Source organism: Homo sapiens, chromosome 4 (assembly GCF_000001405.40).
Source record: "Homo sapiens chromosome 4, GRCh38.p14 Primary Assembly".
Taxonomy (NCBI): domain Eukaryota; kingdom Metazoa; phylum Chordata; class Mammalia; order Primates; family Hominidae; genus Homo; species Homo sapiens.
Window position 1 is genome coordinate 38,035,475 of NC_000004.12, and position 24,177 is coordinate 38,059,651.

At 42.7% G+C, this 24,177-nt stretch overlaps 2 protein-coding genes across 28 annotated transcripts in view, besides 3 other annotated features; one reads left to right on the top strand and one right to left on the bottom strand.

Annotated features, from left to right (window-relative positions):
- Positions 1–24,177, top strand: part of TBC1D1 (TBC1 domain family member 1) — a 248,090-nt gene that overhangs the window by 144,391 nt on the left and 79,522 nt on the right. For 10 of the 27 annotated variants that reach the window (XM_011513659.3, XM_011513660.4, XM_005262646.4 and 7 more), the window contains 7 exons: positions 114–224; positions 8,888–9,016; positions 10,343–10,429; positions 14,144–14,424; positions 16,425–16,586; positions 17,632–17,751; positions 18,725–18,864. In XM_011513659.3, the coding sequence (XP_011511961.1) occupies positions 114–224; positions 8,888–9,016; positions 10,343–10,429; positions 14,144–14,424; positions 16,425–16,586; positions 17,632–17,751; positions 18,725–18,864 (1,030 nt within the window). The remainder of the gene's footprint in view (positions 1–113; positions 225–8,887; positions 9,017–10,342; positions 10,430–14,143; positions 14,425–16,424; positions 16,587–17,631; positions 17,752–18,724; positions 18,865–24,177) is intronic. The other 17 variants (XM_011513665.4, XM_011513666.4, XM_017007920.3 and 14 more) reach the window with 3 other exon arrangements.
- Positions 15,004–15,467: an enhancer, noted in NCBI's record as "ENSG00000065882_4:37728494-37728957 (NCBI36/hg18 genome assembly) insert fragment". NCBI's record gives its function as "drives selective reporter gene expression in differentiated C2C12 myotubes {active_cell/tissue: C2C12}" and the evidence as "EXISTENCE:reporter gene assay evidence [ECO:0000049][PMID:22144875]".
- Positions 18,844–20,043: an enhancer, noted in NCBI's record as "BRD4-independent group 4 enhancer chr4:38055939-38057138 (GRCh37/hg19 assembly coordinates)". NCBI's record gives its function as "activates an origin of replication core promoter dependent on BRD2, P300/CBP, MED14 and CDK7 cofactors, and independent of BRD4, by STARR-seq in HCT116 cells {active_cell/tissue: HCT116}" and the evidence as "EXISTENCE:reporter gene assay evidence [ECO:0000049][PMID:35650434]".
- LOC124900692 (uncharacterized) lies at positions 19,201–20,675 on the bottom strand. Its single transcript, XM_047416508.1, has 2 exons — positions 20,306–20,675; positions 19,201–19,515 (listed from the first exon to the last, which is right to left on the bottom strand). The coding sequence occupies exons 1-2, from the start codon at positions 20,490–20,492 to the stop codon at positions 19,277–19,279; spliced, it is 426 nt and encodes a 141-aa protein (XP_047272464.1). The 5' UTR covers positions 20,493–20,675; the 3' UTR covers positions 19,201–19,276.
- Positions 22,106–22,275: an enhancer, noted in NCBI's record as "experimental_79330 CRE fragment used in MPRA reporter constructs". NCBI's record gives its function as "activates a minimal promoter by MPRAs in K562 erythroleukemia cells, with activity observed for both the introgressed and non-introgressed 4:38059286 variant alleles {active_cell/tissue: K562}" and the evidence as "EXISTENCE:reporter gene assay evidence [ECO:0000049][PMID:34662402]".

The following is a 24,177-nucleotide window of genomic DNA, read 5'->3' on the forward strand; positions in this document are numbered from 1 at the left end:
GATTGAGTAAAAGCACTAGTTTAGTGGATGGAAGCTGTTAGCATTTAAAAAGACGGCTTAGCAATATTGTTGACGATTAAAAATAAATCCTGTTTCTGATTTTTGTTTTAAAGAAATTGAGACCGAGAAATGAGCAGCGAGAGAATGAATTGATTATTTCTTTTCTGAGATGTTTATATGAAGAGAAACAGAAAGAACACATCCATATTGGGGAGATGAAGCAGGTATGGCATTTTTGTCTCTTGTAATTGTTGCCAAGTCTCTGCCAAGTCTCTGTATAAACAACGTTTTGAGGATTTTCTGAAACTCTGATACCTTTTTTTCTCCCTATGTTTTATTTTCCTTTGTTGCACATAGAGGGGAAATTTGGGAGTGTTAGACTATGTATGCTTGAGAAGATAAGAAAAGTTTCTGCCTGCACCATAGTGGAGGCAGAACAGTTGCTCTAATAAGAGGACTGGCTTAGAGCAGCAAGAATTGAGTGTAAGAGTGGATGCCACCAAGATGAGCTGCTTGGCTTGCAGGGAGCTGGTTTGTCACCTCGCCTTTCTTCTTTGTAAACCTGGAAGGACATTGCATGGCTGCCTTTGGAATTACAAAAAGTACCTGAACGTCCTTTGTGATATAAATGCTAGGTCACAAATCAGATACAATGTTGGCAAGCCTGACTTATGTGCTATTCAGGTTAGAACTTGGATTAATTCCATTTTGCATGGTGGAAATACAGAGTCTCCCTCCCCTCCTCCACTGTCTACAGCCTTATTTAGCTTTTCTCTTTGTGGGGTCTCAAGGCAGAAGCTGGGGCTCTCTGCAGATCTCTCCCTTGGAAGATCTTCAGGTTTGGGAGTCCCTATGTTACATGGTACCACAGACCATTTCCTTTGTCTTTTGGACTCCATGTGAGTCCATTCATAATGAACCATTAATAGCTTCAAAACATACACATTTTATATTTGCTAAAGTTACCTGTTGGCCAGAAATCTAGAGAAAAATCAGTGAAGGATGTACAAGTTTCTCAGTTTCCCAAAAGTATGTTCCCTTTTTCTTTTTGAACACTCCCCACGTACGTGTTCCAAAGACACTTGTGTGCTCAGTGGTGTGCCCTGTCCTACGGCAGCCTTTGCGTCTGGACCCTAAACCAAGTGTGCAGTTTTCATGGGGTGTACACTTAGCAAATCTCCACATAAGGTTTCTACCTTCTAGGTGGCTTTGGCAGTCACGTGCCTTCCCTGAACACTTGGGCTGGTGTACAGTGTCAGCCACGGTTTCTAATCTCATTGGCCAGCCATGAGGTCCTTTAGCAGTGACTCTAACATGAGTATATGACCTGTGTTTTTTGGGGTTTTGACTTGTGGTCTTGGTTTGTAGCCATTCCTCCCTTCCCAACCTGTACCCTTAAGATAGCATTCAAGTTCTGTGTCTCTCCTGTTCATTTTTGGATGGACCAGTTGGTCTAAGTTTTCAGTTAATTCTGGAGTTCATTTTTCAGCCTATTTCTTTTCTCTTTTCCACTCCCTTTTTCCCCTCTTGTGCCACTGATAGCTTTTTCCCTGTTCTGATTTTCTTTTATCTGAGTCAGTCTGACTTGTTCCAACAGGAAATTGATAATTTTGAAGTAATTTATAACTGCTAGAAAGGGGAATGAAGCATTTACGGTGGATGGAAAGTCTTCTTTTACTAAACATTTTGAGCATTTATGGTGAATGGAAAGTTTTGACCTAACTGCAGACTCATTTTTATGGACCAGCATAATATTTTTATGATTTGGGCATAGATCATCCAATGGAGAAATGTGTTTAATGTTTTTTTTTTACCCAAAAAAACATAAGAGTTCAATGTAGAAGTGACTGAGCCTTACAAGCAGAACTGGCATCTGTGTAACACTTTTACTAGGGGTTTCTAAACATCATGAACCAGACGGCTCATGTCTTCGTCTATAAAGAAGCTGCCCTAATCCCCTGATGAGGTTGGTGTACTCCAGGCTGGACACTCTCATGGGCTCTGAGGAGTGGGTTTTTCAGAGCAGCAGCTGCTTTATAGACCCATTAGGCACAGCCTTGAGATTCACTGATAGATCCTTTTCATGTTTTCTGCTATCAGTTTAGCCACGTGGATTTCATTACCTTCTTGTTGCACCTAAAAATTTCTAAAGCTTTTGAAAATGTGGGAAGATGTGACATAGACCGTGGTAGGATCATGGCTTTGACAAAGAACTTCTCTGGCCACAGGACTTCAGAAGCGGACAGAGGACAGTGAGCGCTTCTCTCAGTGCTGTGCGTGTCAGGGTCGGCAGGGAGGCCATATGCGCTTTTCAAAGACCAAAAGAATAGTGCTGGAGAACTGTCAGAGGAGTTGTGAAATAGAAAAAACCCTGAATGAGTCTTTTGATCTTATAGAACAGGGTTCAGTTTGGGCAAGACTTATACATTAAGTTAGAGGCTGTCACGTTTTAGTCAATGGACTTGTCGTTTCCACCTGTATTCACAGAGGTGGTACAAAAATTAGTATGAAATCAGCTGCCACTTACTGAATGTTTGCCAAGTGCCAGATAGAGTTCTCATTCCTTACATAAATGACTCCATTCATTCTACAAGTTTTTTGAGGTAGGTGGTAAAATACCCATTTTATAGATGAGGAAATGGGGAAGAGCAGTCAAGCAGTTACTAGTGAGTAGTGGAGCCACTTTGTCTGATGTCTAAGTACTTTATCTTAATTATTGTGTGTTTTTTTAAGGAGCTTAACAAAATTTAATGCTATATAACTACTTACTGATTTTCTTGGGTCTGTTTTCTAGTAGATAAGATTTTCTTTCTTTTTTTGTGACATTTTATTATGAAAAATTTCAAACATATAGAAAAGTTGAAAGAATTATACCATGAGCACTCATATACCCACCATCCAGATTTTACAGTTTTAAAGACTTTGTTAATTTGCTTTATCATATATTTATCTATTAGTCCACCTTATTTTTGCATGCCTTTCAAATTAGGTGATATCAGTACCCTTCATCCCTAAACACTTTAGCATGTATATCATTAACTAGAATTTAGTGTTTGCTTCCAATTTTGGGGAGATTAAATTTACATATGGTAGGTTATGCAAATCTTAAGTGTACCATTTGTTGAGTTTTGACCACTGCTGCTACATTCAGGTAGCTCAAACCCCTATCAAGATATAGAATATTTTCATCCTGCCGGGCGCAGTGGCTCACGCCTGTAATCCCAGTACTTTGGGAGGCTGAGGTGGGCGGATCATGAGGTCAGGAGATTGAGACCATCCTGGCTAACACAGTGAAAGCTCGTCTCCACTAAAAATACAAAAATTAGTCAGGTGTGGTGGCGGGTGCCTGTAGTCCCAGCTACTAGGGAGGCTGAGGCAGGAGAATGGCATGAACCCGGGAAGCGGAGGTTGCAGTGAGCCGAGGTCGCACCACTGCACTCCAGCCTGGGCGACAGAGAGAGACTCCCTCTCGGGAAAAAAAAAAAAATTTCATCCTACCAGAAAGTAGCCCTATATTCGTCTTCTAGTCAGTCCTCACTACCCCTTCCCCCAGGTAACCACTGTTTTGATTTTTTTCACCTTAGATTAGTTTTGCCTGTTCTGGAATTTCTTATAAATGGCATCATACTCTTTTTTTTTTTTTTTTTTTTTTTTTTTTTTTGAGACAGAGTCTCACTCTGTCACCCAGGCTGGAGTGCAGTGGCGCTATCTTGGCTCACTGCAAGCCCCGCCTCCCAAGTTCACGCCATTCTCCTGCCTCAGCCTCCTGAGTAGCTGGGACTACAGGTGCCTGCCACCACTCCCAGCTAATTGTTTATATTTTTAGTAGAGACGGGGTTTCACCGTGTTAGCCGTGATGGTCTCGATCTCCTGACCTTGTGATCTGCCCACCTCGGCCTTCCAAAGTGCTGGGATTACAGGTGTGAGCCACCGCGCCTGGCCGGCATCATACTCTTTGAGTTCTGGCTCCTTCCACTTAGCATAACGTTTCTGAGACTCATCAGAAACGTTATGCTACATTGTTGCATGTATTAGTAGTTTGTTGTTGCATGTATCAGTTGCTTGTATCAGTAGTTTGTTCCTTTTTGTTCTGTGGTATTAATGTCAAGAGTTTCTTTCTCCATTCTCCTTCTGAGCTGCTTGATTATGAATAAGGCTGCTGGTAGATACATTGTGCCAGCCTGGGATGGTGAGTTCTGAACTGAGAATTTCAGTATAGCATCAGGATTTAAAGCTTGAATACTTGAATCCAAACTTTCATGCTTAGAGTTTACCCCATCTGTTGAAGGATGTGCAATATAATGACTGCAATAGAATTCACTGTGGAGCCTCCAAATTAGAAATTATTGTCTGTGAGGGCCAGGCACGGTGGCTCACGCCTGTAATCCTAGCACTTTGGGAGGCTGAGATGGGAGGATTGTTTGAGGCCAGGAGTTTGAGACCAGCTTGGTCAATATAGCGAGACCCCCATCTCTGTTTTTTTTTTTTAAAGAAATTATTGTCTAAGAACCAGTGTCATCTTCCAAGGAGAAACTTCTAGATACTTGTTTTAAGATAAATAAGAAACAAGTCATTTCTAAATGTGAATTATTTTTTAAATGCAATTTTTTAAACATTTTATTTTAATTATGGCAATAGACGTGGAAAAGACTCTTTTTTGATAGTAGGGGAGAGCAGAAGAAACATTGAATTAAGTACACAGAGATTCTTCAGACCTGCTTTAAAAACACATGCATACAAATGCACTTCTGTCTCTTAGGATCTACTAACTGATGCTGCTTGCTTTAGTCTTTTAGCTAATATTTTCTTTCTTTCTTTCTTTCTTTTTTGTTGGAGACAGAGTCTCGCTCTGTCGCCAGGCTAGAGTGCAGCGGCACAATCTTGGCTCACTGCAACCTCCGCCTCCCGGGTTCAAGCGATTCTCCTGCCTCAGCCTCCTGAGTAGCTGGGACTATAGGCGTGCGCCACCACGCCCAGCTAATTTTTGTATATTTAGTAGAGACGGGGTTTCACTGTGTTGGATGGGATGTTCTCCGTCTCTTGTCCTCGTGATCCGCCTGCCTTGGCCTCCTAAAGTGCTGGGATTACAGGCGTGAGCCACTGCGCCTGGCTCATATTTTCTTTATATATCAAAACAATTCAGCTTGCTTCACTTTTATGAAAGCTTTATTATGAGTTTGAAAGCAATTCTGCATTTTCTTAACATTGTAACTGGTGTTGAGTTGAAGGCAGGCCCCTGGGAGCCCTTTGTGGGCAATTCCCTTCACTCTGGAGGCTGCCTCGAGCCTGGACAGGCACTTACACTTGGTCAGTGATTGCACAGAACCGGTTGCAACAGATTCTGTGCACCTCCCTGTGGCGCGTAGCATTTAGCAGGCACTTGGTCACTATTTGCTGAGTGAGTCTGTTACCTTAGGCGTGTATTTCCCGTGGACCTGCCTGGGGATCATTGCTCATTCACTCATTTTGAACAAGCCAATATTACATGTCCAGGGTACGCTCTATAGTGTGAAACACAAAGGTAAATGATAGTTCCCCTTCTCAAAGGAATTTCTAAGGTAGTAGCCATTCTTTTGATGCATATTCTCATTCTCATAGAGAGTCCAATTATGGATAATTGGACAAAGCTGAATGTCGCTTTTATGAGAATCCATTCTTTCTCTTTTATGCTTTGAAAAATGTGTAGCATTCATTAGTGAATTAGGATTTCATTATTCAAAGAAGACATAAGGTCTTCGAACAGCAGATGACTGAATAAAATAATACCTAACAGCAGTAGAATGAGGGGAGGACATATTCAAGGAACATTTTATGCCCATTAGATTGGCAGAAATTTTTAAAAAGTGACAATACCGTATAAAGGTGAACTTTCCTATACTGATACTGGGAACATGAATTTGTACCATTCAGGGAAGAGAAACTTGATAATATCTGGTGTAGTCTGAAGGGGCACAGTCCCTGTGACCCAGTGAGGACATTCCTCATTATTTCCCTTGCCAAACATTTCACATGAGTCTATAAGGAGCTCTATATAAGAGAGGTCACTGCAGCCTCCTTTGTAAGAGCAAGAAAAAAAAGCAAATAAGTGTTTAACAATAGGAACATAGATAAATTAGGTTATGCAGTGAATATTTGCACTCTGACTAAAGTGAGTGAATCAAAAAAAATTTGTCAACAGGAATAAATCTCAAAAATAATATTGAAAGAAGAAAGCTAATTTACAGAAGGATGTGTACAGTATGACACCATTCATTTAGTTTCAACTACATATCTTTTATGGACACATACATATAAAAGCAGAAAACATGAATTGATAGGATAAACACCAAATATTTCTGCATATGGCCAGGTGTGGGGAAGTAGTGGTGATTAAGCTTCAAAGATGTCTGCAGTGGTTCCCATTAAAAGTAGAAAGTAGGCTGGGCACAGTGGCTCACGCCTGTAATCCCAGCACTTTGGGAGGCCAAGGCAGGTGGATCATTTAAGGCCAGGAGTTCGAGAACAGCCTGGTCAACATGGCGAAACCCCATCTCTACAAAAAAAATACAAAAATTAGCCAGATGTGGTGGCGCACACTTGTAGTCCCAGCTACTCGGGAGGCTGAGGCATGAGAATCACTTGAGCCCAGGAGGTAGAGGTTGCAGTAAGCCAAGATCGTACCACTGCACTCCAGCCTGGGTGACAGAGTGAGACTCCATCCCAAAAAACAAGCAAACAAAAAAAGCTCATAGAGTAGGTAATAGTCATGATATCTGATGTTTTTTGATTGTCTGGTTTACATTTTTTATTTTTATTTTTTGAGACAAGTCTCACGCTGTCACCCAAGCTGGAGTGCGGTGGTGCGATGTCAGCTCACTGCAATCTCTGCCTCCTGGGTTCGAGCGATTCTCCTGCCTCAGCCTCCCAAGTAGCTGGGATTACAGGCGTGCACCACCACACCTGGCTAATTTTTATATTTTTAATAGAGACAGGGTTTCACCATGTTGGCCAGGCTGGTCTCGAACTCCTGACCTCAAGTGATTCATCTGCCTCAGCCTCCCAAAGTTCTGGGATTACAGGCATCAGCCACTGCACCTGGCCTTGGTATATGTGTTTTAATTTGTATTCATTCATTTAAGCCTCATGACAGCTCTGCGAGGAAAGTTCACTATACGTCTTCAGGCTGCAGGTAGAGGACCTGAAAGGGACAGGAGGTAACAGTCTGGCCAAGACCACAGAGCCAGGGAATAGCAGAGGAACATTTCACCTGGGCATTGCACTCCAGAGCTGGGCTTCTCACTGTTCTCAACCCCTGGCAAATGCTCACTTGAACAAAGCCAGGTGGTGATACAAAGGTATTTGTTATATTAGTCTCTACACTTTTCTGTGTGCTTGAAATAACTGCAACAAAGAATATATCAGTATTTAGAGTAATGGGGGATTTGCTTGTGTGTGTTTGTATTTTTGAGATGGAGTCTCGCTCTGTCGCCCAGGCTGGAGTGCAGTAGCATGATCTTGGCTCACTGCAACCTCCGGCTTCTGAGTTCAAGCGATTCTCCTGCCTCAGCCTCCTGAGTAACTGGGATTACAGGTGTGCGCCACTACACCCGGCTGTTTTTTGTATTTTTAGTAGAGACAGGGTTTCCCCGTGTTGGCCAGGCTGATCTCAAACTCCCGACCTCAGGTGGTCCACCCACCTTGGCCTCCCAAAGTGCTGAGATTACAGGCATGAGCCACTGCGCCTGGCCGTTTTTTTTTCTAACGAAATTATTTTCTAACAGAAAGCAATCAGGTGAGAATCCACATAAGAAACAATTTAATTCAGAGATTTTTGTTGCATATTAAAAAAAAAATGTACCTTCGGCTGGGTGTGGTAGCTCACTCCTGTAATCCCAGCACTTTGGGAGGCTGAGGCAGGTAGATCACTTGAGCTCAGGAGTTTGAGATCAGCCTGGCCAACATGGTGAAACCCCGTCTCTACAAAAACTACAAAAAATTAGCTGTGTGTAGTCCCAGCTACTCTGGGGGCCGAGGGAGAAGGATTGCTTGAACCTGGGAGGTCAAGACTGCAGTGAGCCATGATTGTGGCCCTGTACTCCAGCCTGGGCAACAAAGTGAGACCCTGGCACCCTGTCTCAAAAAAAAAAAAAAGTACCTCCTTGTAAATAAGTAACACTAAGACTTCATTTAGTGGTTGTCAAGCAAACTCCATTGTATTTTTATTTTCAGTTTTTATGGCTAGTAGTTAAGGGAGAGAAGCTTGGTTGCAGAGAAGAATGAAAGGATGATGGGAAAATAAAAGTAGGAGAGAGGAAAACGCAAGAAAGCAAGAGATCTGTAGAAAGGGATGAAGGAATTGTATAGGCAGAGAGAATAGGTTCTTTAATTGAGAAATTTATGTTGTCTCACCTTCTGAAATGCCCCCAAAGGTAAGTTATTGTTTTATTTTGAAAAGCTAATGATAGCTACCTTTCTACCACGCTGTGTTCAATGTTTTACACACTTTACCTGTTTGAGTCTCACAACACAGTGTTATGATTCGATCTTGCCATTGGTCTCACTTTACTGAAGAGGAAGTTTGAGGCTCAGAAAAGTAAGAAACTGGCCGAAGACCACGGTTAGTGAAGACAGATCTCTGATCCAGTTGCAGAGTCTGAGCAATAAACTACTTCAACTGATTGGTTTCAAAGCACATTTCGTCATTTTACTTGGGGTAATCAAAGCAACTCTCTGAGGCAAAATTATTTCCTGGACTTGCAGCCATGTCACTAAGGAGCAGATGAGGTGAGATCACAGACAGGATCAGAATGATGGCCTGGTGCCAAAAAGATGTGTCCTAGAGATTTTTCATTCCTTTAAGAAGCAGAGAAGGGAGCGATAAATGACTTTTCGTTTTTCACTTTTTTAGACATCGCAGATGGCAGCAGAGAATATTGGAAGTGAATTACCACCCAGTGCCACTCGATTTAGGCTAGATATGCTGAAAAACAAAGCAAAGAGATCTTTAACAGAGTCTTTAGAAAGTATTTTGTCCCGGGTAAGTAGCATAATTTCTCCTGATTTAAGTTAAATCACTTTTTAGGAGAGTGTAAGATTGAGTTCTATGCTTTTATTCCATCAATGTTCATCATAAAGGTAAAAGTATAAAACCTTTTTTTATGTTTTCTCAGGCTTATAACAGTATTATCTACATTTTAAATTGTTTTTAATTTGGCCTAGGTTTAAAAAAAATATTCCTTACTCTTTTGTATTATATCCAATGGGATTTTTTTGCCGCTCCAAAGAATATTTGTTAGCCAGTCCCTATAAAGAGCATGCATTAGATACACTGAAGTGTGGCTTCTGTTCTCCCTACTATCACTATGTATAACTTAAAAAACAGTTACTGTCAGCTGCTGGTGTTAGCTATCTAAAAGGCTATATAGTAGGGGTCAGCAAACTATGCCCATGGGCCAAATTCTACCCACCTCCTATTTTTGTAAATAAAGTTTTGTTGAAACACCGCCACATCCATTCATTTTCCAGTTATCTAAGGCTTCTTTTTTGCAGACTTCAGCAGTTGCCACAAACACTATATGCCTCACAAAGCATAAGACACTTACTATCTGGCCCTTTACAGAAAAAGTTTGCCAAATATAGCTCTATAGAAAGAACAAAGTACACATGTACATCAATCTGGGAGTTCTTTAAGAAATTATCCCTCCCTCCCATGAGTGTAAATAGCCTGATGGCACGTCTGAGAAATCAAATCTGATTTTCCCTCAGAGTTTCACACCTTTCTGGAGTGTGCAGTATCTTATTATAGTTCTTTTTGATTTTATGGCACACTTCTTTTGAAACATCTGATTTTATTTTATTTTTTAATTAAGGAAAGTTAAATTTTATTTTCTTCGAAGATGTTTCTGAGAATTTTGCAATATCTTCTGAGATCATGAAAAACAGTTGATTTACAAAACCAGAGTTGGGAGGGGCTGCATTTGAGAGCTCCCAAAGGGATAGAGTGCTGTCCGAGTGACATGCGGCTGGCCGTTATGATGACTTGTGACCCAGGGGAGGGAGTTAGTTGCTGAGTGGGCTTGAGCACTTGATTTTCCTTATAGACGAATTGTCTTGTCTTCCTGCCTATCACTCATGCCAAATTACTTAGCCACCAGGTGTTTTGGAACGTTTAGGTTAGTGTCTTATTTATTTTTTAAAAAAATGATGGAAATGTTGATTATTTTAATGTACAAATATCCTTAGTAGCATTTCTCAGTAGATAACATTTTTTTCCTGAGCTTATTTAAATGGACCAATCTGCTTCTAGCTGATGCCTTTGCAAAAGCCTCCAGAGTCATAACTCGACTGCCTTTTCTTTATGTAGGGTAATAAAGCCAGAGGCCTGCAGGAACACTCCATCAGTGTGGATCTGGATAGCTCCCTGTCTAGTACATTAAGTAACACCAGCAAAGTAAGCACATTTCTCTTTATACGACACCCTGAAGAAACCAACAAATAGGTCTTGCTCATCTCCTGTCTACATACCTCCAATCATAAAACGTTTGCTGCTTGCAAATTTCTTGGCACAGGTGGAGGACTGGTCATGCAGTTCTATCATAACATAAAAGTTTTACATAAAAGAGCAGATGGGGCTGGGTGCAGTGGCTCAACGCCTGTAATCTCAGCACTTTGAGAGGCGGACGCGGGCGGATCATGAGGTCAGGAGATCGAGACGCTCCTGGCTAGCACAGTGAAACCCCGTCTCTACTAAAAATACAAAAAATTAAAAATTAGCCGGGCGTGGTGGCGGGCACCCGTAGTCCCAGCTACTCGGGAGGCTGAGGCAGGAGAATGGCATGAACCTGGGAGGCGGAGCTTGCAGTGAGCCAAGATCACGCCACTGCACTCCAGCCTGTGTGACAGAGAGAGACTCTGTGTAAAAAAAAAAAAGCAGTAGATTTTCCTATTAAAAAAATAATTAATATTGGGAAAACATCAGAAAGTGGATTTGTGAATTTAGAGAAGTATACAGCTTAAATTTTTCTTTTTTTAAGAAAATTTTATTTTGGATTTGGGGGTACATGTGCATGTTTATTACATGGGTATATTGCATACTGGTGGGGATTGGGCTTCTAGTGTACCCATCACCCAAATAGTGAACATTGTACCCAGTAGGTAATTTTTCAACCTTCACACCCCCTTTCATTCTCCCCCACTTGTGGGGAAATTAAATTTCTGAAACTTTATCCTGTAGCTGGCTCTATGATTATAATGAAACATTACTGTTTTATTTAAATAAGCAAGTATCTATGTCCTTCTTTTAATAACTTGCTTTCTAGACATTTAATCATATTTAAGCCTGGTCAGTTCAACTTTATAACTCCTGAAAAGTGGGTTTGGGTTTTGTGCTAGGGAGGCCAGCTTTCCCTTCTGCTACCAGAGGACTCTCTTTGGCAGTAGTGAGGGAGGGAGTGTTTGTGGAGGCCAGCTCCTTACCACAGGCAGGGTTTACAGTCCTCTGCCATCCCTCCTAGACATATGGCTTTCAGAATTTTTCTAACCTACAGTAAGAAGCACATTTAACATTGTGGCGTAGTTCACAAACACACATACCTACACATTCACACACAAAATTAAAAGTTCACAAAACAATATTTACTGTGAACAACATACAATACATACTGATATTTTGTTCTATTTTATTTTTAAAATGCTCATGGCAAACTACTCAGTTGTACCACCTACTAACATGATAGAGGGAGCAGTTTGAGAAACACTTCCTTAGATGGATGAGTGCTTCTCAAATTTCAGGTGCTCCGCCTCCCGGGTTCAGGCCATTCTCTTGCCTCAGCCTCCTGAGTAGCTGAGACTGGTTAAAGTGCAGATTCTGGTTCAGTAGGCAGGGTGGGGGGAGCCCTGAAATGCTGCATTTCTGACAAGCTCCAAGGCAATGCTGCTGCTCCTGGTCTGCAGACCGCCTCTGGGGAGTGAGGTCCTAGACAGCAGTCTTGTAAATGTGAGTTTCTGAGTTAAAATCCAGGGGAACATAGTGTCGTCCAGCCTCCATCTAATACACACTGATCCCACCCTGCAATTCATTGCAAGTGTGGGAAGGCTATTTGCTTATTTGTTGTGTACAGATGAACCACACACCGCCCCTTTCATGTAGGAAGTTACCTAGGAGGAGAGAGATGACAGATACAGAAACAGCCCCAGCATCAAGCAGAGTGTGGTAGGAGCCCAGAAGTTACAAATAAGAGACATTGGTAACTTCAGTGTCAGAAGAGCAAGGGGAAGGGAAGTTAGGTTTGGTCAGTGGAACCAGGGAAAAGGTGAGGGGTGAGGGGGCAGTGATGCTTTTGGACTAAATCTTGGTGTAGGAATTGTGCCTATGGAAGTGAACAGAGAAGAAGGCATTCTAGACAGACCAGTGTCAATAGACATACCATGAAGACATTCATGTCACTCAGTGGGCTTTCCAGTAAGCCTTATTGCTTGCTTTTTATTTTTCTCCAAAAGGCAGATCTAGGAATATATACATATTCATTCTTCAGGACTCGATAGTTGTGAAGATTCTTTTAAAAGGATTTAAAAGTCTGTCTAAGATTGCAATTTCTAGAGTCATTCTAAGAGAGATGCAACTTTTCAGAAGCTGCTTGTATGTATTGTATATGTTTAAGTGTACTTTACATCTTTCTTTTATTCATCTTGAATTGAGAAACTACTATATTCTATTTTATGTAATTGGATCCCTTCTAAAAAATTGATCACCTAGGAGTTGCAAAGAAACCAAATAGCCCTGAAACTTGACAAATGAAAATGGCCCTTTCAGTTGTCCAATTAAGCTAAGGGTTAGCTCTTTGATATGATTTGGAGGGATATTAGTAAGAATTTAGATCAACAGGTTTGCATGATGGAGATTGTGTTCTGTGATGTATTGTCTTAGAGAGACTTTTAAATCCTTAAAAGAATCTTCACAACTGTTGAGTCCTGAAGAATGAAAAACTTCAGTTATGAAAGTAATCAATATTTCATAGTATGTTGGGAATTTTTTCCTAATTCTTATACAATTAAATGTATGTAACTTCTCCCTTTGGTAAACACATTTCTTTTTTTTTTTTTTTCAAATTAAAACCCTCAATACTTGTTACCTAAAAGGCACTCAACTGTGTAAATGAACAGGTAGAATTCAGTCTCCAGTCCACTGTTAGATGCATTCATTCTTGTTTACTCTATTCCTGTTGATTTATTTTTTCTCTTCCAACAATTTCAATAGGAGCAAGCTGCTACAATTCCTCTTTTTGAATATTTTGAATATATTAAAAATATATTGGCCACTAGCCACGTCCTGGGTGCAGTGTTAAACATCAGTTTGCTTGAGTGGTAGTAGTTCATTCCTTTGAAAAAGCGTGCATCGTGAAGGCATACAACTTTAAAATATTGTCATGATTCTCAACAAATGTTTGAGCACTCACTCCATAGATTTATTGCATACCTAATAAAACAATAACTTATGTTTGTGTAACATTTTACAACATAAAAAGTACTTTTGGTTGTATCATCTTGCTTTGTTCTTGAAACTCAGATACATTTTTACTTTACCCTCTTACAGAAGAAATTGAGGTGCAGAAAGAAATTATTTGCCCTGAATTGCAGCAGTAAGTGCCTACAGAGTGATTTTCCATATTCTAAGAATATTGATACAGTTCTTAATCTCAAATTATGAAGTCGAATCTCAACAGTAGATCAGATTCGGAGAGAGCCTTAAAATGTGGGTTTAACATGAGTGAACACATGTGGCAAAGATAAAGAACTTGGTTAAGCAGTGGAGACAAGTTCTCCAGCACTCACACCCCTTAGAAGCTGCAGTAAACAGTCCTGTTTTCTAGAGAGAGGGCACTATTCATGGCGTTGTTCAGAACGTTACAGATTGTGGCTTATGTCCTTCACTCCTGCACTTGGCCAGTCTCCCCATTTCTCCAGCAAGCCAGCAGTGTGTCCTTGAGGAGCGGGCATTTATTTAATGGACCTTCATTTTCTTCTGCTTTTGGTGGTGGCTTCTAGATGGCATTATAATCAGAACACATACTTAGATACTGCAATGTTTGCCCGTGCAGGAACTAGAGATTTATAAATCCCACATATTCCCCATGGTGTGTCTGATCTGCTGTGTGTTTGCTCCCAGGAGCCATCTGTGTGTGAAAAGGAGGCCTTGCCCATCTCTGAGAGCTCCTTTAAGCTCCTCGGCTCCTCGGAGGACCTGTCCAGTGACTCGGAGAGTCATCTCCCAGAAGAGCCAGCTCCGCTGTCGCCCCAGCAGGCCTTCAGGAGGCGAGCAAACACCCTGAGTCACTTCCCCATCGAATGCCAGGAACCTCCACAACCTGCCCGGGGGTCCCCGGGGGTTTCGCAAAGGAAACTTATGAGGTATCACTCAGTGAGCACAGAGACGCCTCATGAACGAAAGTAAGATTTGTTTAAATTTGTTGCATAAATAGCTGGGGCATATCTGTGACTAGCCAGGTATGTGCATCCCAGGTATGTTTATTGAGTGAGAGAAATGAGTCAGGCTTTACTCTTGGTTTGGAGATAAAACTGGAAGCAGTGACATGTTCGTTCGAGCTGCTTGTGAGTATACAAGCAATGGGTACTTGTATTGTCAGGAAGCAAGTGAAAGTGAGCAAAAATGGTACCTAACATGCATAGTCATTACTCCTCAAACAAAGTAAGAGACGTTGTTGACTGTGGAACTTTGCTGCTGTGAGGAAGAGGGCAAGCGGATGAGTCTCCCCATCTGAAGCCCTGGAGCAGGGTTATAATGGGAGGGAGAGGCGCTGATCCTTACAGGCAGAGCAAGAGAGGTATGCTGGCCTCATAGGGTGACAGGGGTGCTTCAGCTTCTGGTCCTAGCTCTGCCGTGAACTAATTGTGACCTGGACGAATTTGCTAAATTCTCTGAATAACAAAATTGGAGTAGATGTTTTCTAAAATCTCTCACTGTAAGAATTCTAGATTCTTCTAACAAGATTTATTCATTGTAATAGTTGGGTTCCTGTGACCAGTTAGAATCGTCTGGTTATGGAGAAGAGTAATCAGAAGTTCCCCCCATTCCTTCCAAGTGTCCCTTAGTGATTCATTTAACTCTGTGTGCCAGAGACTATAAATGGACACAGTTATCTTTAAAAACAACTTTAAACAATTTTAAAAATCTCTCACCTAATATGAATCAAGGTCACACCTGTGTACAGTCGCTGCCTTCTTCTGACCAGCAGCCGCAGAAGTCCCAGGACCTATGTGTTCGTGTAGTTCATACACGGATCATTGAGAGTGTGAGTTAGTACAGAAGTGTTTGGAATGTTCTGAGTAAAGAAGTGTGAGCATTAACAGTCCTGGATGATGGAGCAGAGCCTCCCAGCTTTGTTTTCTGTCAGCCATTGGAAAGAGTTCTTGGTTCTTTGGAATTCAGCGGGGTAGTGGTGATCCCAAAAGCAGGGGACATGTCAGAAGGTACTGCTTAATAAATACACGCTTTTAGAGACACACATCGTTGGGTTGTAGCTGTGTAAGTTTCTTGTGTTTAACACCCTGTCTGCACATTACTTCTGTGCTGCCTCACCACTGCCTGCCCACTCCTCTGTTGTTGGCGTTTTCAGTGATCATTGAAACATTCCTGTCTGGAGAGTCCTAGTTCTCTTGTGAAGTCTGCTGTTTCTCAAAAGCCAGAGTTGATAGGACTTAGTATCAGTACTTTTCCTTTCTCCATGAAGAATGTAGCTTTATAATAGATGATGTCACACATCCGTAATGGGAGGGATGAGGAGATGCCTGTCTGTCTGCCTCTCTAGCATGGCCCATTCTGCTTTCTTTCCCCCTTGTGAGCTCTTTTCCGATTTATCTACAGGAAATAAGACATTGAAATTCAGGGCAGGATATTGTTCATTTTAAAGGGAAATGTATTTTTTAAAGTTCAGTTTTTTTTTGCTTTTGTTTATACTTTAATTAAAAATTTTTTTTCCTGCCAGTTCCTGAAAAAGAAAATAGAGAAAGAAATATTATTGTTCCTGGGCGAAGTGGCTCACTCCTGTAATCCCAGAGCTTTGGGAGACTGAGGTGGGAGGTTGCTTGAGGCCAAGAGTTCAAGGTCACAGTCAGCTGTGATCGTGCTACCGCACTCCAGCCTGGGTGATAGAGTGAGACCTATTAAAAAAAAAAAGTATTGTTGGGAGCATAAACACGTGGGAAATGGTCAAGAACGGCCGTCAATATACTCTGTTTTTCACTGAAAACTACCTTTGCCAGAGAGCGAGCAGAGATGAGGAAAAGGAGTGGAAGAAGTCCTCCACTCTGATAGTGTTACTGGAACAACGAGACAAAAGCGGTGTGCTCCTTCCACCTGTTTGCTCCGTGTCCCTGTCGGCGCCCCCTCTCCTGCTAACCCCCCCGTGCTTTCTCTGATTGCTGTTTAGTGTGGATCCTTCACCTGTGGGTGAGTCTAAGCACCGCCCAGGTCAGTCTTCAGCTCCTGCTCCTCCACCTCGTCTTAACCCCTCCGCCTCCTCGCCAAACTTTTTTAAGTACCTAAAACATAATTCCAGTGGAGAACAAAGTGGGAATGCTGTGCCAAAGAGGTGAGCACACTCACGTGGCAAGTTTGGTGTTGTCTGTTTTCCTGGGGAGTTCACACTGATGAGGATGTGCTGAATGGGGGGAATGTCCATGCAGGAAGCAGAGCCACTGTGTGTGTGTGTGTGTGTGTGTGTGTGCGCGCGCGTGTGTGTCTTTGTTTATATTTTGTCTTATTTTCAGCTGTCATTTGAACCAAGTTAATTTTACTATTGATGACTTTTCTTAAGATTATTATGAAAACAGATCTTAATGGCAGATTGGTTTGTGTTTGTGTTTGTTTTTTTTTTTTTTGAGACAGGGTCTCACTCTGTTCCCCAGGCTGGAGTGCAGTGGCGTGATCTCGGCTCACTGCAGCTTCTGCCTTGTGGGTTCAAGCAGTTCTCCTGCCTCAGCCTCCCGAGTAGCTGGGACTACAGGCACACGCCACCATGCCCGGCTAATATTTTTATTTTTTTTTGTAGAGATGGGGTTTCACCATGTTGACCAGGTTGTTCTTGAACTCCTAACCTCAAGTGATCCGCCTGCCTCAGTCTCCCAAAGTGCTGGGATTACAGGTGTGAGCCACTGCACCCTGCTGCAAATTGTTTTTTTATACTTATTTTCACATTTCCTTGCCCTAGTGGACACTTACATGCATGCGTATATACACACACACGCGCGCGCGCGCGCGCACACACACACACACACACACACACACACACACACAGGATAACATCTGTGTTTGATCATGTACACTGCAATTTGTGCCATATCAGAAACTTCCTGATTGATTTAGGGGAATTATTTTTCCCAGTTTGAAAGGAAGAGTTATTTGGAAAATGGATGGATTTTCTTTTTTAAAAAATTATTGATCCCATTCATTTAAAATCAAATTTTATTGGTGAAAATGAAAATTAAATCTCATTCGTGAACTACTTTTAATTTCTTACCTAGTTTTCTTTTCTTAGCATTAGAACAAAAATGTTTCTTTTATTTTGAAGCTTATATTTTATACTTTGTGTTTTTATGTTTCTTTATCCTAAACTCTTTTTTCAACCAAACTCTTAGCATCTCCTACCGTAATGCCCTGCGGAAAAAACTTCATTCTTCTTCCTCTGTGCCAAATTTTCTAAAATTTCTGGCTCCTGTAGATGAAAATAACACCTCTGATTTTATGAACACAAAAAGGTAGGGCTTAATTTAGATATATCAAGCCTGGGTGTTACTAAGTGTTGAATATCATTAGATATACAAGGGTGTTTTAATTACTATTTTGCCATTTAAAAAATCATTTCAGCTAAATCTGTTGTATCTTCTTTCTTATACTTTTTTCTTACTGAATGCCATTTTTAAAAATGTGCAACCAACCTGTTCTCTAGTTTTGACGAGGATTAGTTTAAGTGTTATCTTAAGAAAAGTCTTTGCCAAGTCTCTGAGACCAGTGTTTCTGGTTAGTGAGCATATGTCTGTTTCAAATCAGGATGTCTGATCTGTTCAGGACGTCTAATCTGTAAGTTGAGGGGATTGCTTACTTACAGGTACATAACTTGGGTATAAATTGGAAGGGCCTTCTCAGGTTGTCCTGTGAATAGGAGAAAACATTTATGATTGTGTTTATATATTGATAACTGTATTTTGTAGTTTAAAAAATACACACGTTAAAACAATTATCATCATCAAGTGACTGCATAGTTATTGCCTTGCTGGTTCTGTGTAATTAAATTGCAAGTTTTTTCATTTTTTGTGGGAATCCTTGGAGACATGGGCCTGTGCTGAGCAGATATTCCCATGCACAGAAGAGGGCAGAATGGGGCCCCTTGGCATCACCCCCTTTCCCCCTTTAGGCAGTTTCTCTTTATCAAAGTGGCACCAAGAGAGGCCCAATTGGAACTATGATATGTGGAACATGTTTCTTAATCTCTGTTACAATCGAAATCACTTAAGGGCATGTAATCTTTCTCTTTTCATGAAAAGAATTCTGTAAGAAAGCAGTTCTTTAGGAATGATGACCCACTGTGAGCTTGATATAACTTCTGTGATTGATTATTTGTTTATACAAAGATAGTTGATAATTTAGTGATTTGTTTAAAAAAATGTTAAGCTAACAAAATCCCGTGAATTCCTCCCCACTAGTCATAAATCAATCATCTTATAATTTTAGGGACTTTGAATCCAAAGCAAACCATCTTGGTGATTCTGGTGGGACTCCTGTGAAGACCCGGAGGCATTCCTGGAGGCAGCAGATATTCCTCCGAGTAGCCACCCCGCAGAAGGCGTGCGATTCTTCCAGCAGATATGAAGGTAAGGCCGGTACCTGAAATGAAACCTCAAAGAGAGCACGCTGACAGAGGACCCTGGGAGCCCCATCATATTGGTAAGAAAGCAGAGCGCCGTCCTCTTCAGTATTGGCAGGTCTGAGGCAATCACAAAGGTAACTAGGGAGGGAATTTAGAGGTTACCCTCCATTTCTTAGGGAAGGAATTTAAAGCTAATTTAGGGTAACCTCTCCATAAACAGGAGCAGAGCTCTGATGTTTAGAGTGGTCACAGTGTTAACCAGCGGTGAATCCAGACAGGTCTGCGGCAACCTCACTTCTTGCCTCCTAGGACATAAGGCAAAAGGAGAGACTGAGGCAAGTTTTAGAGCAGCAGTGAAAGTTTATTAAAAACTTCAGAGCAGGAATGAAAGGACGTCAAGTACACTTTGAAGGTGGTTAGGCGGGCAACTTGAGAGATGAAGTGTGAGATTTGGCCTTTTGACCTGGGGTTTTATATGCTGCCATACTTCCGGGGTCTTGCGTTCCTTCTTCTCTGATTCTTCCCTTGGGGTGGGCTGTCCGCATGTGCATTGGCGTGCTAGCACACGGGGGTTGTGGGGGAGCGTGCGCAGGGTGTTTACTGGAGTTGTAGGCGTGCTCACTTGAGGCGTTCTTCCCTGTCCAGTCTAGCATTCCTAGAGGAACGTCATGCACCAGGTAAATTCCGCCATGTTGCCTCTTAATGCGCATGCTTGAGCCCACTCGCCCAGCTCCCGAGATCTTATTGGGAAGCTGCAGCTCCCCAGTTTTAGGTGTTTTCTATCTACTGGGAGCCCGCCCTTCCTTGGTGCCCGCTGTGACCAACGATCACTTTAGAGAAACAGTTGACAACTGCCTGACCAACACCTGATGGTCGCCTGACATTGCTGGTGCATATCTGGAAAGGGCCCTCTCCTGCCGTCCTCATGTCTGACGAGCTACCCGCTGTAACCAAAGCGTGGGCTTCGGAGTCTGCTTTCAAATCCCAGCTTTTCCCCTTAGGAGCTGTGAACTAGAATAAACTGTCTAAAGTTACCACCTATAACCTGGGATTAATTATGCCTGTTGCCACACTGATAGAGACAAGGCAGCATGATATCATTACTGATACATTTTTTTTAAAGCATTCAAAATTCATAGTACTGGAAAGAAAATCAGTGATGCGAATGTTTCCAGGGTAATGTCACCTCCCATGCTGTGGAAGTCCTTCGGGTGAGCCTGGCCCCTTGCTTCTTTTGCCCCAGCCTTTCTATGTGGGGGCACCATGGAGCTGCCACTCACCAGCACCTTTTTTCCCTCAAGTAGTTTGTACCTATAAAGTATTCCTGCCGTGGGTGGCCCCTCGGTGGAGCTGCTGAGCCTAGCCAGGGTTTGATTTCTCTTCCTGCCAGTGTGAGCCAGATGGCCACATCTCTCTTCCCCTGCCCCGTGGAGAGGTCTGCTTACCGCAAAGAAGGGCTCTTCCTCCCAGGTCCTGTAGCACCCTGTTAGAGGGTGTGGAGTGGAGCAGTGGGAACCAGAGCCACCAGAGGGAGGCCCTGGAGGAGGAACGAAGCTGATTCATGTCTGAAAGGGGTGCCAGAACCCAAGTTTCGGTGTTTAATAAAGAGTGCCTCGGTGTTGCGGTGGCCATACCTCACAGGGCATGGTCGCTTGGAAATTTCTGCTCGGAAATGCTTTGTGCAGTGGCCAGGATGCGTTAGGGGCCACAGATGACTGCTTGCTCCATCATAGAACAGTTCCAAGTTTTCAAACGAGCATTCACAGACTGAGCCGCATCCTGCCTCCCTGTCCTCTGATTCCTGGCTTCTTCTCTGGTCTCTGAAGCCACACGGAAATGTGTTTGCATCTGTTTCCTGCCCTTCAGATGACAGAGGACCATGGAAGCTGCTGCCTCCTTTAGCTCTCTTCTCCAGGGGAATTGCCCTCGTCACTGTTTGGGAACCCCTGGTCCGAGTCCTGTCCTCCGAAGAGCCTCTGCCCCTCCTGGAGTCCTGAGTTGAACTTGGTGTTCACTTGGCCTCTGGCTCTGGCAGTGTGTTGCTCCTTCCGTTGACCTGCCACTGCTCTGTTAATGCAGATTGATCTTCATAATCTGTTTCTGCTTTAAGTGATTAACTCAAACATTCTTGGCTCTTATTCTATCTTGTCCTTTGGGATATGAACCATTATTTAAATTTGGACTGGTTTCCTGGCTTGGCACAGTTGACCATGCCTGTAAGCTCAGTGCTTTGGGAGGCCAAGGCAGGAGGATCCCTGGAGGCCAGGAGTTCGAGGCCACCCTTGGCAACATAGTGAGACCCTGTCTCTACAAAAAAATAAAAATTAGCTGAGCGTGGTGTTGTGAAGCTGTAGTCCTAGCTACTTGGGAGACTGAGGCAGGAGGATTACTTGAGCCCAGGAGTTTGAGTTTACAGTGAGCTGTGATCACACCCCTGCACTCCAGCCTGGGCAACAGAGTGAGACCTTGTCTCGCGGGGTGGGGGAGTCATGTCTATACTTGAGAAGTTTTTTTCCCTCGCATAGTTTGTACCTATAAAGTATTCATCAGTTTTGAGCAGTCCTTTTGCGATTGTTTTGAGTCTTGAGTCTGGTGACCAGTAAGTTGTATATATTTGCCTGTCAAGTGGACAAACATGGCCTTTGTGCCTTTAAGTAATGGCTAAAAGTACCAAACAGAACAGGGCCTGGCATAGATGCTGCTCCTCCTGTTCCTAGGCCGTAATCACCCCTGATTCATCAGACCCCAAACAAGTCAGCTCCTCTCCCTCCTGTGCCCCACCACCCAATCTCCTGCAGGAAGATGTCTAGAGACCCCTGTCAGCGCTAGGCAGAGATCACCATCCATGTCCACCTTTCCTCTGATGCAGGTTCCCACTAGCCCCTCTGGCTTGTGCCATGCCAGCCATGAACTCACCCTCATGCCCCACCCGAGCCCTGGCACAGGCTATTCCCTCTGCCTGGAATGCTCTTCGTCAGTATCCCCATGGCTCCCTCCCTCCCCTTCCCTTGTATCCTGACTCTCCCATAGCAGCTCTCTCCCTGTAACACATGTTCACAGGTTCATCTTTGTCACCCATCTCCGGCAGCTCCTGCAGGCTTGATGGCTGCTAAAGGCAGGCAAGTCAGTGGCTCAGATTCTTGCAAACTTAGTGATTAGTGATTTCTCAACTCCCTCCTCATGCCTCCTCTGTCTCTATAGGCACATATTATTTCTTATCTCTTCTCAGAACCAAGCCGCCTGAATTTCTGAATAACATTGTTTAAGTGTTCTGTGTATGCAAAAGAAAAACGAGAATAAAAGGATTATTAAGGAAGAATTAATATAATAATAGCCACATATTATGCTCTTTTTATACTCTGCTAAGTGCTTTACATGAATTATTTCCTTTAATTAGACAATCTTAAGAACATCGACATTTTTATGAAGCCCATTTTACAGGTGGGTGAGTGGAGGCTGGGAGTGGCTTAAATCACTTTCCCCAAACCAGGGAGTTAGTGGGAGCCAGAGGCAGGACCTGAGCTCGCGGGTCTGAGCTCCAAAGCTCATTCTCTGAACTGTGCACAGCACTGGGCTGCAGCCAGAGATGCAGGACGCTGCGGGACCCTCTGGAGGTGGTCCTGCCTGTGCTTCCCTCTTCCCACAGGAAGCTCCCTATAGGCATCTGTGTTGGGCGTGGACTCTCAGTGTACCTGCATGTCTCCCTGTTGGCCAGACACCAACACTGAATGGAAAACATGTTTCTGGGCATTTTAATGTACGTACTTGCCTTCAGTCAATCTCCTCCGCCCCCTTCCATCCTGACCGCCTCCCTAATAGTTAGCAGTGGGACTGGAGCTTGAATGGCAACTGATTTCTGTCTGAGAGGACAAATCAGGCATCTTTGTCCTCTGCCACTGTCTGTTCCCCATCCTTAGGATGCACGATGCCAGAGCCCTCCACTGTGGTCTGTGACCACTTTGACCCACACTAGCAGGTCTCCATATGTTCCTTCCAGCTGAGAGACATCACATCCAAAGACAGTTTAGAGCTCTGAGGTTTCTTTCCCCAGAGGTCCCTGCTTTGTGCAAACTGTCTCCAGCCAAGCGTGCACAAGACTCTGTTCCTGATTTGCCTGGGCGGCTGAGCCATGGGCAGCTGAGCCTGCAGCCGCTGGACTCACTGCATTCCCACTCTGACTTTGGCATGAAAGACACACAAGTGTGCTTGTGAGAAATAGATCTTAACAGTACCTTTTAACACCTATTTCAGGTGCTCAAAATGACTGCCTGTTTTACATTTATATTCTGGCAGTGCAAACTTCAATTGGACAGGAAATCTTACAACCTCTCTTCCAGGTGAAAAAGCGAGGCAGGGATGTTTATACAGTTCCATCCATGTCATCCCACTTGGAAGATACTAGTAAAACACACCAACAGTAATACAAAAACCATGGTGTTTGCAATAGTGATAATGTTACTAGTGAAGGAAAAATAGAAACTTTCTGTAATTTGGAGATTCTAATTTTTATAGGTGGGCTAAAAAAAAAATCTGGAGAGAAGGGTGTTAAGTGAGTAAGGAGTGTGTCTCTAACTAAATATAGTGTAAAAAGAGAAGAAAATACAAAGTCAGGCACAGTGGATAGAGGTGGATAGTCTAATCTCTAATAGTATAATGGGCAAAATTGTCTCAAACAAAATTAGTCTGCCTCTTGTTTACTCAGGGATGTGTGACTGTTTTCTATGCACAAAATCCCCATGAAATAATTAAGTTGCAAGAATCTGAACTTTATATTTTGGAAACCTATCTGAGGTAGGTAGGAAGTTAATTTATATTTAGAAATTTGCTTGCATATGTCTAGTAGCTCCAGGACAAATATTCCCAAATCCCAGACTATTTTTTTTTCTTTTTAAATTCAACAGTGACCAGTTGGTCTCTTGTAAGAATTACAGCCTTAAGTTAGCAAAGTCTAAGAGGGCTGGTTTTAATCCTGAACCTCAGAGGGTCCCTGCTTCTCAAATACTAAGTAGGTCACGTGCACAGCAGGTACTACATTGAAGGGAAATTGTATGATAAATAGGAAATCAGCGATTTTTACTTGGAGACTTGGCAAGGCAAATGTTTTTGTAATAAAAATAGATCGTGAAATAGAATCCTGAAAGCTGCCTGTTTAAATGTAAAGCAAATGGCTTTAGTGATGCTTTAAGTGTGGCAGTCACTTCTGGCTGCCGCAGAAACTATAGAAAGTGCATTCTCTCTTGGTGCTGTGGGTTCTTAGGGTGAATGCCTTGTGTGACGCTGAGTATGTGGAAGGACCATTCATTCTTGGTAACTATAC

Excerpts from the sequence above, each read along its gene's own strand:
- LOC124900692 (XM_047416508.1), bottom strand. The coding sequence starts at position 20,492 with ATGGCCACCGCAACACCGAGGCACTCTTTATTAAACACCGAAACTTGG. Across the intron at positions 19,516-20,305 it reads AGGAAGAGCCCTTCTTTGCG|GAATGCTAGACTGGACAGGG; the intron begins GTAAGCAGACCT and ends ACGTTCCTCTAG.